This window comes from Homo sapiens, chromosome 8 (assembly GCF_000001405.40).
Source record: "Homo sapiens chromosome 8, GRCh38.p14 Primary Assembly".
Taxonomy (NCBI): domain Eukaryota; kingdom Metazoa; phylum Chordata; class Mammalia; order Primates; family Hominidae; genus Homo; species Homo sapiens.
Window position 1 is genome coordinate 94,354,671 of NC_000008.11, and position 18,691 is coordinate 94,373,361.

General features: G+C 38.7%; 1 protein-coding gene across 2 annotated transcripts in view; it reads right to left on the minus strand.

Moving 5' to 3' along the window:
- The window catches only part of RAD54B (RAD54 homolog B), a 103,156-nt gene continuing 101,754 nt past the window's right edge, over positions 17,290-18,691 (minus strand). For both annotated transcript variants that reach the window (NM_012415.3, NM_001205263.2), the window contains one exon: positions 17,290-17,717. In NM_012415.3, the coding sequence (NP_036547.1) occupies positions 17,500-17,717 (218 nt within the window). In that variant the 3' untranslated portion in view covers positions 17,290-17,499. The remainder of the gene's footprint in view (positions 17,718-18,691) is intronic.

The following is an 18,691-nucleotide window of genomic DNA, read 5'->3' on the forward strand; positions in this document are numbered from 1 at the left end:
AAATTAAAAATAGAACTATCATATGATCCAGCAATTCCACTTCTGGGTATATGCCCAAAATTATTAAAAACAGGGTCTTGAGATATGTGTAAACCCATGTTCATAGAAGTTATTCACAATAGTTAAAACATGGAAGCAATCCAAGTGTCCATCAACAGATAAATGGATAAACAAAATGTGGTATACACTACAATGGAATAATATTTAGCCTTATAAAGAAATTCTGACATATGCTACAACAGAGATGAACCTTGACAACATTATACTAAGTGAAATAAGCCAGTCACAGAAAGACAAATACCGTATAAGTCCACTTATATGAGTTACTTAGAGCAGTCAAAATTATAGAGACAGACAGTAGAGTGGTGGTTGCCAGAAGCCGAGGGGAGGAAGAAATGGGGAGTTGTTATTTCGTGGGTACAGTTTCAGGTTTACAAGATAGAAAGAGTTATGGCAGCCAGGTGTGGTGTCGTGTGCCTGTAGTCTCAACAACTCGGGAGGCTGAGGCGGGAGGATCGCTTGAGGTCAGGAGTTCGAGGATATAGTGCAGTATGACTGCGCCTGCAAACAGCCACTACACTCCAGCCTAAGCAACATGAAACTCTATCTCTTTTAAAAGTTTTAAAATTTTAAAATAAATTTTAGCCTGGGTATGGTGGCTCACGCCTATAATCCCAGCACTTTGGAAGGTCGAGGCAGGCAGATTGCTTCAGCCCAGTAGACCAGCCTGGGCAACAGGGCAAAACCATGTCTCCACAAAAAACACAAAAATTAGCTGGGCATAGTGCTGCATGCCTGTAATCCCAGCTACTCGGGAGGCTGAGATGGAAGGATCACTTGAGCCCAGGAGGTTGTGGCTTCAGTGAGCCAAGATCATGCCATTGCACTCCAGCCTGGGTGACAAACCAAGGCCCTGTCTTGAAAAATAAAATAAATTTAAAAAAATTTTTTTAGGAATTACGGAAATGGATGGTGGTGATGGTTACACAACATTATGAACGTATTTAATACCACAGAACTGTACACTTAAAATGGTTAAGATTGTAAATGTTATATGTATTTTAACACAAAAAACTGGAGGTGTGTTATGTGTACATTTTAACACAATAAAAAATTACAGGTGTGGTGGCTCATGCCTGTAATCCCAGCACTCTGGGAGGATCATTTGAGCCCAGGAGTTTGAGACTGCAGTGAGCTATGATCACGCCACTGCACTCCAGCCTGGGCAACAAGAGTAAGACCTTGCCTTGAAAAAAAAAAAAAAATGGAGGAAAATATTTATGCAGGGGTGGGCAGTATGCCATTCAAACAGCATGGATTCAGCCCAGCACACTGGCTCATGCCTGTAATATCAGCACTTTGGGACGCCAAGGTGGGAGGATTGCTTGAGACCAAAAGTTGGAGACCAACCTGGGCAACAAAGTGAGACCTTGTTTCTTAAAGAAAAAGAACAAAACAAACCAAAAAACCCACAAAAACACAAATAGTACAGTTAATGGTTAGGAAGGCTACTCTGAGGAGGTGATGACTGAGCACCTAGATGTAAACTAATTAAGGAAGCCAGTGATGTTTAGGAATGTTTTCTTCTACATGAAAACAACACAACATTTCCTAGAAACATAAAAGAAGACATAAATATCTAGGGAGACATTCCATATTCCTGGATGAATACTCTAAATTATCTCATTTTTTTCTCAAAATTAATTGACAAAATAATTCTAAGATTAATCCAGAAAAATAACTGATATAGAGTAACCAACAAAATACTGAAAAAGAAGGATACTACAGAGGAATTTGATCTCCTAAATAATAATAAATCTTGAAATCCATATTAATTAAAATACTGTTCAAGAACAGAAAAATCAATAGGGAAAGAATGGATTATTTAAGTGTTATTACAATTGGGCAACCGTTTTCTAAAATTTAGATTCCTAACTCATTCCTCACACCAAAATTATAGATGGCAGAACCTGCAGAAATGAAAATAAGCATCTCTGAATTTCGGCGTTTTTTAAAAAACCTAGAACATCGTAAGTTCTCAAACACTGTATGGCAAATGAATTAATAAATGAATGAGATGAGACATAGAGCCCCTTACTGAGGAAATGAAAGGAGTTACCTTGCATTTTGTTATTTGTTTAATTCACTCGTTTATCCATTTAATTCACCTATATCGAGCACCCACTTGGTGCCGTCAACATCTCAAGATATAGGAATGACTGAAGTCTCAACATGTCCAGGAAGGTCGATCATATTTCTCACAATAAAGGGCTCCACCCAGGTCCAACTTTCAAGCAGATCCCCTTTTACCTAAAAGGTACTTAGCATTCTGGAAGCCTCAGTATTTGTTCCTTCCATTACAGGAACCCAGATGTAGTCTGCTCACAGTACTAACGAAAAGAGTGGATCTTCTAATTCATCTTCCTCAGCAGCACAAACTCTTCCCACCCTAGGAGCAGAAACCAGGCTGAGATGTATGGAAGCCTCCAGTACTAAGCTACCCAGACAGAAAGCAACATCCAGGTCAAAGCATCACTGTCCGACCACATGACCCTTCTACACCTGGGCCCCGAAGGCACTGCTAGGAGTCAACAGCTCCACCTGGTGACCAGAGGCTGGCCTTCATCAAAGGCTCAGGCACTGCAGCAGTTGAGAATTTCTCTTTATGGGTATTTCCTCAGGCATAAATACAGTAACTAAAACATATGTTTTCATTGTCTGCTACTTATGGAATAAACATTAATGTTTTGTGTTTTCAAAGCTATTTAAGTCAAAAAAATCCTTTAATAATGTTTATGGAGAACTGAAAAATTGTTACTGGAGGTCTCACAAAAAAAATCACAGTGAAAAAACAAATAATTCTGTGCAAAAGTCTGTTTATTAAACCTATATTCATCTTACAACAAAATCAGAAGTTAATAACTAAGGTGTCACTGATTTCAAGACTATTTCCATCAAACTTTAAAGTTTGCTCATTTTTCATTTAATTAATAATTTAATACCCACCCCCCTACCAACACGACCCATGGGGAGACAATAAGTGTAAAGCTCTGACAATATAAAATGCTGTGGAAAATAATCCTGTCAGTCATATTGATAGCTAGAATGATTTGCCAGTTTTTATAGCCATCATAACAGCAGCCTGTGATTTGAAATCTCATAAAACAGGAAGCTGTGTGCTTAAAGACATGCCTGGAATTCCTGATGTGATGGGAGACAATTGTTGTGATCTGTTGCTGCCACCAGCAGGCCATTCTCACAAAATGGTATTTTCCCCTTTGCTTTTTGTTTCCAACTTACCTACTGATATTTCTTGACCACCACATTCTTTAATCAGGATAAATAATTAGATAAAAAAACAAATCTTTTTCATGGGTATCCTCAGTAACAATCACTTCTTTAAAATCTACCATATATAACCTTTTTAAAATTTATTTAACAAACAGGCCTAATCTTTCTGCTTATCTTTTATTCCTTTTTTTTTTCATAAGCTCCTAAATCCTTGCATTTTTTAAATCAGGTTCCTGGTAAATATATCTTAATATGAGAACAAGTGATCCTGGCATAAAAGGTAGAAGCCCACAGTTCATCACACTGATGACTGCTATAAGATATTCCTTAAATTTTCATTTAGCTGGCGAATTTAAGGCTGGTGCATACAAACAAGTTCTATAGCCACATCAACCTGGGATCAGATCCAGCTTCTTAGCATTGTGCTCTTGGGAAGCATTTAACCTTTCTAGGCATCAGTATCCTCCCTGTAAAATGAGGATAATAATAATACCCATGTCTTAGGATTGACAAGAGGAATAAATGAAATAATGCATATAAAGCATTTAGCAAAATGTCTGGCACATAGTAAGCCATCAATGAATGACTCATTATTATTATTAAAGTGTAAAAATTAAGACTTCCATACAATCAGAAGCCAAATCAATGGGAGAGTTCTGACTAGAACCTCCAAATCTGCTGATTCCAAGCCAAGGGCTTTGAACATCGTATTGCAATGATGCTTTCTATTTATCTAATTAAGATGAAGACTCTGGTTCTTTTGGGATAGGCCAAGATTGCTGAAAACATCACTTTTCAAATATGAAGTCCTTTTTAAGCCCAGAATTAGACAAACCATTAGGTTCCACTGGACGTCCCTCCTACATCTGAAAACAGCTTTCTCCCCCTTGGATGACAGAAGTGGTATTTTTATGGTAATATTTCTCATAAGAAGCAAGTACATGAGATTCCTCTTTAAGCTCTGAAATTTCTTTCTTTTGCAGAGCTTCAGATAAATAAAGCAGCTTTCCATTATGTGTTTCTGTCTAGCAAGGCTATTCAATATGTTCATGGTGGAGCATAGGCATGAGGGGCGCTCTCCAGCACAGTTAGTGGAAACAATTTCTAGTCTAGTTCAAAGCAGTAACTAAAGCCAGGTTCCTTTGATGTCTTACTGAGAAAGCTGCCCTGCAGCATAAGACAGGGCAGTGTGAATTCCCGTCTAGCCTTGTGGCTGAAGTTTTGTGGATCAGGAGCTGGGGAAGACCAGAAGTGCCAAAGGTCTACTTTGCTACAGAGAAAATAAGTGAAGCGACTGTGTCTCAATGGTAAGTCTTGCATAGGTACCTTTAAAATATTGTCCTATAATTAGATTTTTATCTCCCTTTCAACTTGAATGAGGAATCATTCTGGACTTGCTGTCTCATCAAATGTTAAATTATATACTAATTATTCCTATGTCTGCAATTCTTTCTAAACAAGGATTTCCAAAAACTTTTCCACCCTTTGGAGGTTAACTTACTGCATGGAAACTAAATACTGGAGGTTACTGAGTACCAAGATTAGAGGGGGAATTTACAGTGTTTGCTTCCCAAATTAGCTTTATTAAAGGGACTAGAAAGTTTTATAAAGGGTATGGATTGTTAGCAAGTGATAGAAAAATTTATTGATCTCAATCCCATCTCAATACACAGGCACCAGAGCCTTCTTTATTGCCCGTTATGTTTTTTAAGGCTCTAGTTCTGCACAATCAATGGTGGTTCACAGCGTGTGGGAAACAAATGGACAGCAATGCTCTTTGGCATTTGGTCAACCCTCTGAATCATGTAGCTCTTTCCCATCTTTTAAGGGTGTAACCCCTTCTAAGAATTTTATTGCCAAAGACAATATGACAATATATCTAACTGATCTCAAAGCCACTTTTTAGTGCCTCCACTACAGAGAAAGTGTTTGTACTCATCCAGTGGTCTTTTCCTGTCCCACATTTCCCTTTGTTTCCATAGAAAGGTTGGACACCGCTGACCATTCTTCAAGTCCTCGACAATTTGCTGAGCAGATACTCACCATGGGTCAGGCTCTAGGACACCATGGGAAAAACTGAGGCAGAAGCACACTCAGCATTTAAGGTACAGCAAGGGGGGGAGTGGGAATGAAGTGTAGTTAGTGAGGGGAGATGAAGTCAGAAAGATAATGGGGCCAGATCATGTTAGGCCTGGAGGCCACTGTGAAATTTTTAACTTAGACTCTGAGCGAAAGATTGAGGGAAAAACGTAATAAATAATTTTTTCCTTTGGTAATTAAGAGCAAAATTACCAAATGATCAGAAGTAGATAACTAGTATTAGGTACCATGTTTCTATCACCCTAGGCATTGCCAGAGGGCCTTCCACAGACACACCCAGGCACCTCAGGATTGAGCCAGAAGTTCAGAGAGGCCCATAACCTGGTTTCATAAATTAGCCCATGAACTGGGGTCTGAACAGGGGCTTTGGCCCCACACCATTCACCTTCCTCTTGCTTTCTTACACTTGCCCACTCCTAATTTCCCTAATCTCTGCCCCAGGAACTTCTCATTAATCAGTAGACTGAGCAGGATAGTGGCTGCTCTGTATGATAAACCAAGTCCCTTATTCCAGCTGGCATGCCCTTGACTTTGCAGAGCTGTGGCCCCTCCTAACTGCCTCTGGACTCTGGTGTAACGCGTGAGCTGGCTTAAGTTAGTTTAGCCACTGAGTAGAAAAGAACATAAAGGCCAGGAAGGAAAAAAAAAAACATCACTCACAGCCGCCTTAGAGCCACCTCGTTTGATGCCCCCTGAGTTAGAAACTGATTTCCAAGGCCAACCATGGGGAAAAATCTGGCTACATTCCAACCTTATCGTGTTTAATGAGGCCTCATGATGAAAACACAAGGCTTCTCCTTGATGATTCCCTCCTATGGCAGAGGTCTGAATAAATAAAGGAAGAAATATTAGAGCAGCTGGTTTCAGATAATAAAGCTAGCAGTATATGATTTACTAGTGATTGAAATTAAAAATATGAATAGGATTCAGAGGATAAAGGTTAAGGTGACACACGATTGCTACAGTTATTGCTAACAGAAAATAGTCATTACTTGTTAACATTTCTAAAGCGTTGATACAAGCCACAGGCTATCAGCACTACTGCTGCTCTCATTATGACAGATTAAATAATCATATAAATAATCACTCCGTCCAAAACTTGATAACAAATTCGACAATGCCAAAAACAAAAACAAAAACCATAGCCTATATGTACACCAACCTTCTTTGCAAAGCTCTCTTATAAACTACTTTTTCAAAGCTCCCCACTATACCCAGTATCTAGTGAATGGCTTTACCATTGGTGTCATTAAAATTGTACTGACTGGCCATTGTCAGAGGGAAGCGCTTCTTCACCTTTCTGGTGAAGGGAGCTCAGTTTATTTAACTCCTGGCCTCCCTTTGCAACCTGTTTCACCCTTCCCCTTGGGAGATAGTGACCTCTCTGACTGGTAAATTTATCAAGAATATCTCCACCTTGACGTGTGGTTAATTTGATCAATGGGATGTAAATGAAAATGTGGTATGCAATTTTGAGAATAAGCCCTTAAGAGGAAGTCTTCTCCTTCTCTTTCCTGTTGGCTGAAATGCAAATATGATTACTGGATCCAGTGTATACCACAAGGTGGAAGCTGCATAATAGGGACTGGGGAGCCACAACAAGCTAGGAGCTGGGGTCCCCAGCGACTGAAATTACACCAGCCCAGACTGCCGACCCAGACTTTCACCTGAGAAATAAACTTCTGCCTTACTTAAGCCCCTGTATTACAGGTTTTCTGACAATTACAGCCACAAAATAGCAGCAGGGAGTCCAAGAATGCTGGGGGAAAAGGCACAGCCCAGGAAAAAGTGATTAGAGGATACCCAGAGAAATAAGTCCAAATAAAAAGGTTTAGTGACTGAGATTAAGCATGAACAAAAGGTATATAAATAAGAGGAAAAAACAAGCATTTGGCAAACCATACTAACAAGTCATGAACTTATATTTATACACTAAGATTTGTATTCATGTACATATAATGGATCCTTGTTAATAAGCATAAATATATTAAATGAATATTCATAAAGCACTTAGAAAAGTCCCTGGCAGGCAATGAGTGCTACACAGCTGCTATTAATTTAAAATAAAATAAATAAGAGTAAATGATGTGATGGTTAATTTTATGTCAACCTAGCTAGACTATGGTGCCCAGTTGTTTGGTCAAACACTAGTCTAGAGGTTGCTGTACAGGTATTTGTGGATGTGGTTAACATTTACACTAAGTTTTCTTTAAGTAAAGCAGATTACCCTCTATAATGTGAGTGGGCCTCATTCAATCAGCTGAAAGCAATAAAAGCAAAGACTGAGGTTTCCAAAAGAAGAAGGAATTCCTCAAAACTGCAACATGGAAATTCTGCCTGAGTTTCCAGCCTGCTGGCTTACCCTACAGATTTTCGACTTGCCAGCCCCTACAATCCCTTTAGCCAATTTCTTAAAACAAATAAATTTCTAAGTATATATATATAGATAGACAGACAGACAGATAGATGTATAGAGATAGATATAGAGAGATATAGATATATAGAGAGAGATCTCATATTGTTTCTGTTTCTCTGAAGAACCCTAATACAAATGGAAAGTTAAAATAGGCCTGCAGTAGAAGTCACTGGAACCCTTTGTTGACAACCAGCAGGTGGGATAAAGGACCCACTAGAACCTTGCTCAGTGCACTGTCACTCCCCATCCCAACCCTACTTTCATGGCCCTGAGGAACAACCTCTAAAGAACCTCAAAAGTTCAGTTACCCTCCTTCCCTTGCTGCTGTTTTAGAGCAGAAGATGAAAGGGACCACAATGGTCACAGTTCATCCTAGAACTAGGAGTAAATGCTTACAGGTATGGGGTTTCTTTTGGGGGTGATGAAAATGTTCTGGAATAAGACAGTGGTGATGGCTAAACAACACTGTGAATGTACTAAATTCTACTGAATTGTACACTTTAAAATAATCAATTTTATGCCATATAAACTTCACCTCAATAAATTATTTTTAATTATGATTTATAATATGTGAATTTTACCTCAATTTAAAAAAACTGCAAAAAAAAAAAATGGAAATATCTCCACCTTCTTCCTCCTGGAAATGAGTTTGCGTGTAGAAAACACAAGCTCTCAAGGCAGGGTGCAGTGATTTTTGGCTGTAATCCCAGCATTCTGGGACACCAAGGTGGCTGGACTGCTTGAGGCTAGGAGTTCAAGACCAGCCCTGGAAAGATAGCGAGACCCTGTCTCTACAAAAAATAAAATAAAATTAGTCAAGCATTGTGGCACATGCCTATTGTCCCAGCTACTAGGGAGACTAAGGTGGGAAGATAGCTTGAGCCTAGAAGTTCGAGGCTGCAGTGAGCTACGATAGTGCCACTGAACTCCAGCCGGGGCAACACAGCAAGATCCTATCTCAAAAATAGCAACAATAAGAAAACAAAAAACACAAGCTTCTTCTGTGCCTCCGAACCCTGAAGCTTACCTGGGAAACATTTCCTCATGGGTAGGACAGAGCTCAGTATTAACAACCCACTTGGGTAACAGATGTAAAGCCAAGCCAATCAAGTAAGCTATTACCAAAAATGAAAGGGATATTTTGACCTCCATATGTACTTTTTGTTTCCCACCTTAACAAAGTATGAAAGCTGAAGGAATCCCAGAGCTGATGGCTCCCACTAATGGTGGTTTTCTACACACACTCAGTCTTGTCTCACATGACCACATGTATCCTCGGTACAGAGAGACTGAGACATTTGGAAGCCTAGCCTGGACTCATAAGAGTTCCACTCTGCTTTTGCAATCCATGCTTTCTCGTTGCCTGCTGTGTATGCTTTCTTAAAGATAAGTAAACCTAAAGCTGGATGCAGCCCACAGTGTCTTGTGACCTTGTGTTTTTGTCTTGTGAGTTGTCAGTTTGAGCAATCTGAGCAGAAAGGGTGGTCAATCAAATCAACTGCTTCAATTGTAAAATACCATGTCTATTGTTCTGTGAAAGGATAAACATAAGATTCAGATCTCATGAAATTCACACACCCTAATCCAAAACCCAATTCTTTAATTAATTCACTTGAAAAGAGAACATGATATGAAACACTCACATTAGTTCATTTTTCTTCTCACATATACATCTGTCTCAGGAACCTGGCATGGTGAAATCATAGAAAAGGCAGGACAGTGCACTGGAAAGAGCTTCAGATTTTGAGTTAAAAGAGGGGCTGGTGTTCAAGTTTCAGCTCTGTCACTGAATGATCTTGAATAATTATTTAATCTCTGTAAGCCTTAAATCTATAAAACGGAGATAATAGAGTATTTGCTCTGTTCAACTCTCAGCATTGTTGTGAGGAGCAAACCACTTATCTGTAAAGAGCTAAATAAATGTAGATTATCACATGTTTCAAGCACCTGATTTTCACGTGTTCATTTTGGTCTGCTTCAGAAAATCATTGATCCTATCTTATCTCATTTATTTATATTAGTCCATAATGGCTATACTGCATACATAATAAACAGAGGTTTATAAATACTAAACTTTTACTTAGCATCATTATATTTATGTAAGAGACAGAAGCATTAGATTGACATTCCTATAGATTTTCTTTAAACAAATGTAGCAGTTGTAATTTTGTTCCATTCAGATGCTAAACAATGGTATACATCTGTATTGGTCAGAATTGTCCAGAGATAAATAGATATATAGAGAGTTATTATGGGAATAGACTCGCATAATTATAGAAGGCAAGAAGTCCCAAAATCTGCTGTCCCAGTCTGAGTCTGAAGGCCTGAGAAGGGGATAAGGGGTTGCTATAGTCTGAATGTTTGTGTCCTTCCCAAATTCATGTTGAAACCATATTACCAATGTGATATTAGGAGGTGGGGTCTTGGGGAGGTGATCAGGTCATGAGGGCAGAGTCCTCATGAATGGAATTAATGCCTTTATAAAAGAGGCCCAAGAGAGACTCCTTGTCCCTTCCACCATGTGAGGTAACAGCTACACAGTGCTATCTATGAAACAGAGAGCAGGCCCTCACCAGACACTGGCTCTGCTGGTGCCTTGTTCGTGGACTACCCCCGCTCCAGAACTGTAAGAAACAAATTTCTGTTGTTTATGAGCTATCCAGTTTATGGTATTTTGCTATAGCACCTCAAATGGACAAAGACACGGGTGATAGTGTAAGTCCCAGTCTGAGTTCAAAGGCCTGAGAACTAGGAGCTCCGATGTCAGAGGGTAGGAGAAGATGGATGTTCCAGCTCAAACAGAAAGTAAATTTACCCTCCCTGCCTTTTCGCTCTATTCAGGTCCTCAAAAGATTGGATGATACAAACCAATGTTGATAAAGCAAATCTCTTCTATAGGTAAAGGCTAGTCTCTTCTAGAAACACTCTCGCAGACACATCCAGAAATAAATACTCAGGAAGGATTTTAACTCCCAATTTCAAATTCTAACTTGATCTATAATTACTATATAAACTATGCATACCTCCAGAGATGAAATTTTTAATAATAAAACAGGGAATGGGTACAGTGGCTCACACCTGTAATACCAATATTTTGGGAGGCAGAGGCAGGAGTTTGAGACCAACCTAGGCAACACAGCACGATCCCATCTCTACTTCAAAAAAAAAAAGGAATACGTGAAAATAAATACATTGCAGGTACAAAGGATTTTTTTTTTTTTTTTTAAACAGAGTCTTGCTCTGTAGCCCAGGCTGGAGTGCAGTGGCACAATCTCGGCTCACTGCAACCTCTGCCTCCCGGGTTCAAGCGATTCTCCTGCCTCAGCCTCCCAAGTAGCTGGGACTACAGGCACGTGCCACCACGTCCAGCTAATTTTTGTATTTTTAGTAGAGATGGGGTTTCACCATGTTGGCCAGGATGGTCTCGATCTCTTGACCTTGTGATCTGCCCACCTCGGCTCCCAAAGTGCTGGGATTACAGGTGTGAGCCACCGTGCCCGGCCAGAATTTATGCTGTAGACATTTATGATGTTATATTTTTTTTAACTACTCAAAAAAAGTCTTCAGTATTTTGTTGACATTTCCTCAAAAAATAAAAATAAAGGAATTGTTAATTTTGGTCTACTTTGGAATTTTATTATCTTCTTACTCACAAAAAATAATTTTTAATAAATCTAAAAAAATTGTAAAGATTAAATCACACTGAACACTTCAGGTTTTCAAGTAAGTGTAACAAATTCCAATAAACTATTGTCTGTCAATAAGGTACTTTTTTTTTTTTTACAGTTTTTACATCATAAAAGCTGTATTCTGAATTGGTATTGGTTTTGTGAACACAGTATCTTAGGGATAGAAATTTGTAATGGTTTGAAGCAAAGATCACAGGTTAGCTATAGAAAAGTGCCACAGGAAACTGGTCTAAACCAAAAACATGTTTTTATCATACAAGGTAAGACAAAATAATATCCCTTTCTATCAAGTCATGTTGAAGCCTTCCTTGAATACCAAAATAGCATATCTACAAATCCCTCTAGGATACAATATATTAATTTGGGAACAATTCAGAAAAACAAAGCCATAAGCTAATTATACATATTGTTTGCTGTGAGTCACAGTCAAAATTTTAATCTTGCCACATAATATTAGGACACAGTTGCTCAGGCAATGTGACTGTAGGCCATAATTGAGCCACTCAAATGAAATGCCAGCCAGATTTTTTTCACTTGCTCCTTTGTCATACACCCTTTTAAATGGATGGATAGGCTGTCTAGGAGTTTAGTTCTGCAGATCAGAGCTGCTCATGTTTAAATTCAGCTTTAGTAATTCAATCCTAATGAAAACGTGACTGAAATGTATTTGCATTGTCGTTTAGAACCAGAACATTATGACATAAAGCTGTGTGAAAGGTGTATTTGTGTAATTAGAAATGAATTATGTATGTGACTTAAATTATTACCCATTGCAGTGACAGCTTCTGTCAGCTCATGCAGCAGATTGACAGATCGCAATAACAAAAAGGGAAGTCTGGATGCTGTCAGAGGCAAGAAGAAACTGCTGCCTCTGCTTTCTTCAGTGTTGAGCACAGCTCCATGCTCAGCAGTTGGCGTAAATAAATACCTTGAAACTGAGATCTATGAGCAAGAAACATGATCAAGGTGGTTAAAGAAGTAAAAGAGGTAAAGTACCTCATTCATTCATTCAATTACTAAATAGCTATTCTATGCCAGGTCCCATACAAGGTCCTGAGAATATTAGGGTAAGTAAGATTAAATCCCCATCCTCAAAGGAGTCCACCAAGAGAGAGAGGGAGAGCATGCGACCACATGAGCATATGGACTGGGAACATAGAGAAAGGGAAAATTCTTATAAACAGCACCTCTCACGCAAAAGCTGCTTTATACGTGCAAACCAGGTGTTAAGGTCCCTTAACATGTGGATAAAATGAGTCTATACCCCCACAAATGCCTGGCTTGTCAAAGTCCAAAGTCTTCATCAATTCCCAGAGGGCTATCTTCTGTACTTCTCAGCCTCTGAGATCCCATGCCACATATGCTACCTTTATTCCATGTCACATGGGTTCTCCCATGAAATTCAGCCTCTTCTGAAATTTCTACTGCAAAATCACTCTCATGCAGGATACTGGAAGATTTCAGAGTGAGGCAGAGAAATGGATGGAAGGTTACTTCCCACACTACTTGGCAAACAAACAACTTTATGAAGAACAATAGGTATCCACTATAAAAACAGGGCCCAGCACCCTTACCTAAGGAGCTGAAATGTTCCTTTTGACAGATTTGTCTTGAATTGAGATAAGGGTGCTGGGCCTTTCTACCCAGCATCCACCAGTCTCAAATGTTGGCCAACCAGGGGAGGAGCATAATCTTGGGTGAGGCAGATCCTCTCAGCTGAGGGCTATTCTTGGGGAAGAATTTGGCTATAAGTGGCCCACAGGTGATGCTTCTGGCAGCTGGAGAAACAAGCGCCTTGGTTCTGAAAGGGGCAATCTGGGCAGCACACCCTTGCATACACCACAGTTAAGACAGGCAGCAGTTGCAGAGTGGCTGGAACTATGTGAATAAAATAAATACATACATACATACATACATACATACATACATACATACATAAATTTTTGTTTAAAAAGACAGGCAGAATTACCTGCCCTTTATCAATGTTTTTTAAGTACTTTATGCCTGAAAAGGATACGATGCAAGATAGATATTGAAAGTTTAGTTCAGTCCAGCAACATAGTGAGACCCTATCTCTTAAAAAAAAAAAAAAGTTGTATATAAAGCCTCATGCATGAAGTCTATATACATGGGGCCAAGAAATACCATTTTTACTTATTACTAGTTGGCTACTTCCTCACTGACGAATTTGGTCCCAAACTGCCTGTTCATGAATCCTAGATGTACAGCTAGCTACCCAGGTATGGCACTAACAAATTAAAAGAATTCATCCTTGATTATACATAACTGAGTATTTAACACCTCAAGACAATACAGGTATACCCCATTTTGTTGTGCTTCCCAGATATTGTGATTTTTTTAAATTGAAGGTTTCTGACAACCCTGCATCAAGCAAATGAGTGACACTTTTCCCCAAAACATGCTCACTTCATGTCTGTGTCACATTTTAGTAATTCTTGCAATATTTCAAACTTTTACATTATTATATGTTAGGGTTATCTGTAATCAGTGATCTTTGATGTTACTATTGTAACTGTTTTGATGTACCATAACTTATGCCCATGTAAGATAGCAATCTTAATCAATAAATGTTGTGTGTGTTCTGACTGCTCCACCAACTGTTGGTTACCCCATCTCTCTCCCTCTCCTTGGGCCTCCCTATTCCCTGAGACATAACGATACTGAAATTCGGCTAATTAATAATCCTGCAATGGCCACTAAGTGTTCAAGTGAAAGGAAAAGTCATATATTTTTCACCTTAAGTCAAAAGCTAGACAGAATTAAGCTTAGTGAGGAAGGCATGTTGAAAGCCAAGACAGGCTGGAAGCTAGGACTCTTGCATTAGTTAGCCAAGTTCTGAATGCAAAGAAAAAGCTCTTAAAGGAAATTACAAGGGAACACACAAATGGTAAGTGAAGCAGCTTTATTGCTGATATGGAGAAAGTGTTAATGGCCTGGAAAGAAGTTCAAACCAGGCACAATATTCCCAAAGCCTAATCCAGAGCAAGGCCCTAAATCTCTTCAGTTCCATGAAGGCTGAGAGAGGTGAGGAGGCTGCAGAAGAGTTTGAAGCTAGCATAATATTTAAGGAAAGAAGCTGTCTCCACATCATATAAGTGTAAGGTGAACAGCAAGTGCTGATGGATAAGCTGCAGCAAGTTATCCAGAAGATCTAGCTAAGATCATTGATGAAGGTGGCTACACTAAACAACAGATTTTCAATGTAGAAGAAACAGCCTGCTATTGAAAGACGATGCCAGCTAGGACTTTCATAGCTAGAGAAGATAAGTCAATGTCTGACATCAAAGCTTTAAAGGACAGGCTGGCTCTGTTTGGGACTAATGCAGCTGGTAGCTTTAAGTTGAAACCACCTTCCAAAAATCCCAGGGCTCTTAAGAATTATGCTAAATCTACTTGCCTGTGCTCTAGAAATGAAACAACAAAGCCTGGGTTACTGAATATTTTAAGCTCACAGTTGCAACCTACTGCTCAGAATGAAAGATTTCTTTTAAAATATTACTGTTTATTGACAAAGCACCTAGTAATCCAATGGCTCTGATGGAGATGTACAAGGAGATCAATGTTGTTTTCATGCCTGTTAACACAACATCCATTTTGCAGTACATGGGTTAAGCAGTAATTTCGACTTTCAAGTCATATTATATAAGGATTGCATTGTGTAAAGCTAGCTATGACCATATAGACAGTGATTCCTCTGATGGATCTGAGCAAAATCAATGGAAGACCTTCTGGAAAAGATCCACCATTTGCAATTCATGGGAGGATGTCAATATAACAACATTAACAGGAGTTTGGAAGAAGTTAATTCCAATCCTCATAATTGACTTTGAGGAGTTCAAGATTTCAGTGGAGGAAGTAACTGTAAATGTGGTGGAATCAGCAAGAGAACTAGAATTAGAAGTGGAGCCTGAAGATTTGACTGAATTGCTGCAATCTCATGACCAAACTTGAGCAGATGAGGAGTTACTTCTTATGGGGGAGCAAAGAAAGTAGTTTCTTCAGATGGAATCTACTCCTGGTGAAGGTGCTGTGAACATTGTTGAAATTACCACAAATGATTTAGACTATTCCATAAACTTAGTTGATAAACCAGTGACAGGTTTCAAGAGGACTGGCTCCAATTTTGAAAGAGTTTTTACTGTGGGAAAAATACTATCAAATAGCATCGCACGCTACAGAGAAAGCTTTTGTGAAAGGAAGAGTCAATTGATGTGGCAAACGTTGCTGTCTTGTTTTCAGAAATTGTCACAGCCACCCCAACCCTCAGCAACCTTCACCAGGTTCCTGATCAGTCAGCAGTCATTGACATCAGTATAAGACCCTCTACCAGCAAAAAGATAACAGGCCGGGCATGGTGGCTCATGCCTGTAATCCCAGCACTTTGGGAGGCCAAGGCAGGTGGATCACCTGAACTCAGGAGTTCAAGACCAGCCTAACCAACATGGCAAAACCCTGTCTCCACTAAAAATACAAAAATTAGCTGGGCACAGTGGCGGATGCCTGTAATCCCAGCTACTCGGGAGGCTGAGGCAAGAAGAATTGCTTGAACCCAGGAGGGAGAGGTTGCAGTGAGCCAAGATCATGCCACTGCACTCCAGCCTGGGTGACAGAGCAAGACTCCGTCTCAAAAAAAAAAAAAAAAAAAAAGGCATCAACTCACTAAAGTCTCAGATGACCATTAGCATTTTCTAGCAAATTATTTTTAAATTAAGGAAAATACATCATTTTTCAGACATGATGCTATTGCATACTTAATAGACTACAGTATAGTATAAACATAACTTTCATATGCACTGGGAAACCAAAAATATGTGTTACTTACTTTATTGTGATATTCATTTTATTGCAGTGGTCTGTAGCCAAACCTGCAATATCTCCAGGGTATGCCTGTATTTTCTGTCTAAAAGAAATTTTCCTAAATGGAAACAAAAGCTGATTACAGAAGCCCCATTTGGAAATTAAATTAGTAACTCCTTTCTCTTTGCAGGCTTCAGTCTTCTAAAGGTTGCTTTGTATATTAAAACCTTTTTTTTTTTTTTTTAAGATGGGGTCTTGCTCTGTCACCCAGGATGGATATTGGATCATATCCAATCATAGTTCACTGCAAACTCAAACTCCTAGGCTCAAGCAATCCTTCTACCTCAGCCTCCCACGTAGCTGGAACTACAGGCATGTGCCACCATATCTGGCTAAGTTTGTTTTTTAGAGTCAGGGTCTCACTGTGTTGCTCAGGTTAGTCTCAAACTATTGGCCTCAAGCAATCCTCCTGCCTCTACCTACTAGGTAACTAGGATTACAAACTGGAGCCACTGCGCACAGCTAAAACACTCTTTTCAATGCCAAAAATTACTCCAGATAACCCTTAAATGATGGTAGCTGAACCTTTGTTCAGTGCATAAACAATATTTGGTAGACATGGCTTTATAGACTGCATAAGTCTGAGGTCCCAAACTAGGAACTAGTGCTCTCAAGTGTTCCCAAATCCTTCAACTCCTGCACTAACCCATTGACTTTTCTCACTCAAACTGCCCTGCAGCAACTATTACATCCAACATCTTTAGCATTTGCGATCCTAACCTCTCATTCTCTTTCTCCTTTGAGCTACATTTTAAACTTACCAAGTTTTTCAGTTGTTTCAAACATCTGTCTAATATTTCTAATCAGATTAGTTTTCCCAAAGACAGAGAGTATTTTACCTTTTTATATTCCTTATAAAAATTTCTCAGTAGATACTTAATGAAAGTGTATTAATCAAGGAATTATTAACAATTATACAATGATATAAGCACATCTTTATTTTTCATTTAAACACTTAATATTTACAAAACATTAAACCACTCAATTTTGACTATTGTATCAAAAGTGATATATTTTGCAACATATACTGTAATTTAAATAATTCTATTAATTTTCAAAAAGTACATTTAATTACCATACTAATTTTCAAAAGAAGAGCAATGGAATGTCAGAAGTAATCTTTCACTATGTGCCAGTAGCTTGAGTGGTTATATTCTGAAAAATGAATGACACATTTTCTGTTATTCTTTCAAGAAAAGGATCTGTAAGATTTAAATGATCTCCAGAAAAATGTTTCCATTGCTTCAGCTGGGACATAGAAAGAGGTTTCAGGGAGTTAGATTTCTGGTGATGTGGACCAAGCTGACAATCTCTAGAGACAATGAATTTTTCCAACGAATCACCTGTAATAAGTAAAACAATGAGAAAATCCTTAGGCAAGCCAATATCCTGCTAAATACAATACTTTTTTGTTTTATGATAATTAGTTTATGTGATTTATTACATTTGATCACCATGGTTCAAGTTAAAACAAATTCATTCTTTTTACAAACATTTATAAGTTATTTACTATGTACTGATTTAAACAGCAAAGGTAAAATGATGAAGAAACACAGGCATGGTCTCTGACTTCAAGGACCTTACAGTCTAGTGGGAGAGATATACATTAAATAAATAATCATCTGAAAAATGTATTACAAATTCAAAATCCCTTTCCTAAAACCTGTGGGGCCACGTTTACAAATTCAGAATATAATTCGAACAATCTGGGTCAGCATTCCATAATGAAACTCATTAACATTCTGTAGCAAGTCATAAATAGTCTTACAAAATGGGTTAAATAAAGACTATTGATAAACTCACATCAATTTAGGTAAGGTTTTGCCACAAATAATTTTGTCACAAATTTATGAAGAAAAAAAAACCTTTTGAGCTTTCTAGATTTCAGAATTGAAGATAAGGGACTGTGGAGCTGAATTACAAACAGAGGTAAGGGTATGAAGGAAAGATACAGGGAACTATCTTACATATGACAAGAGAGGCTGACTTGGTCCGGAAGGTAAGTGAAGGGCACCCTGAGGAAATGTTCTATTAAGATCTGAAAGATGAGAAAAGAACTAGATGGGGAAAAAAGATAAAGCATTCCATGATAAGCACATTAAAAAGCTATGAAAAGGAAGGGACACTGGCATAGTCGAGCAATTGATACGAGCCTATGCAATTAAAGCCTATAGAGTAAAAGCAAAGAATAATGCAAAAGAAGTTAAGTAATGCACAGTGAAGCAAGTATTCAAGGGCTGGATTATGCAAAACATGAATGGCAGAGGCCAGCCGTTATTCACCAAATCCATTTCTCTTTCCTCCAGGGCACTTAGTC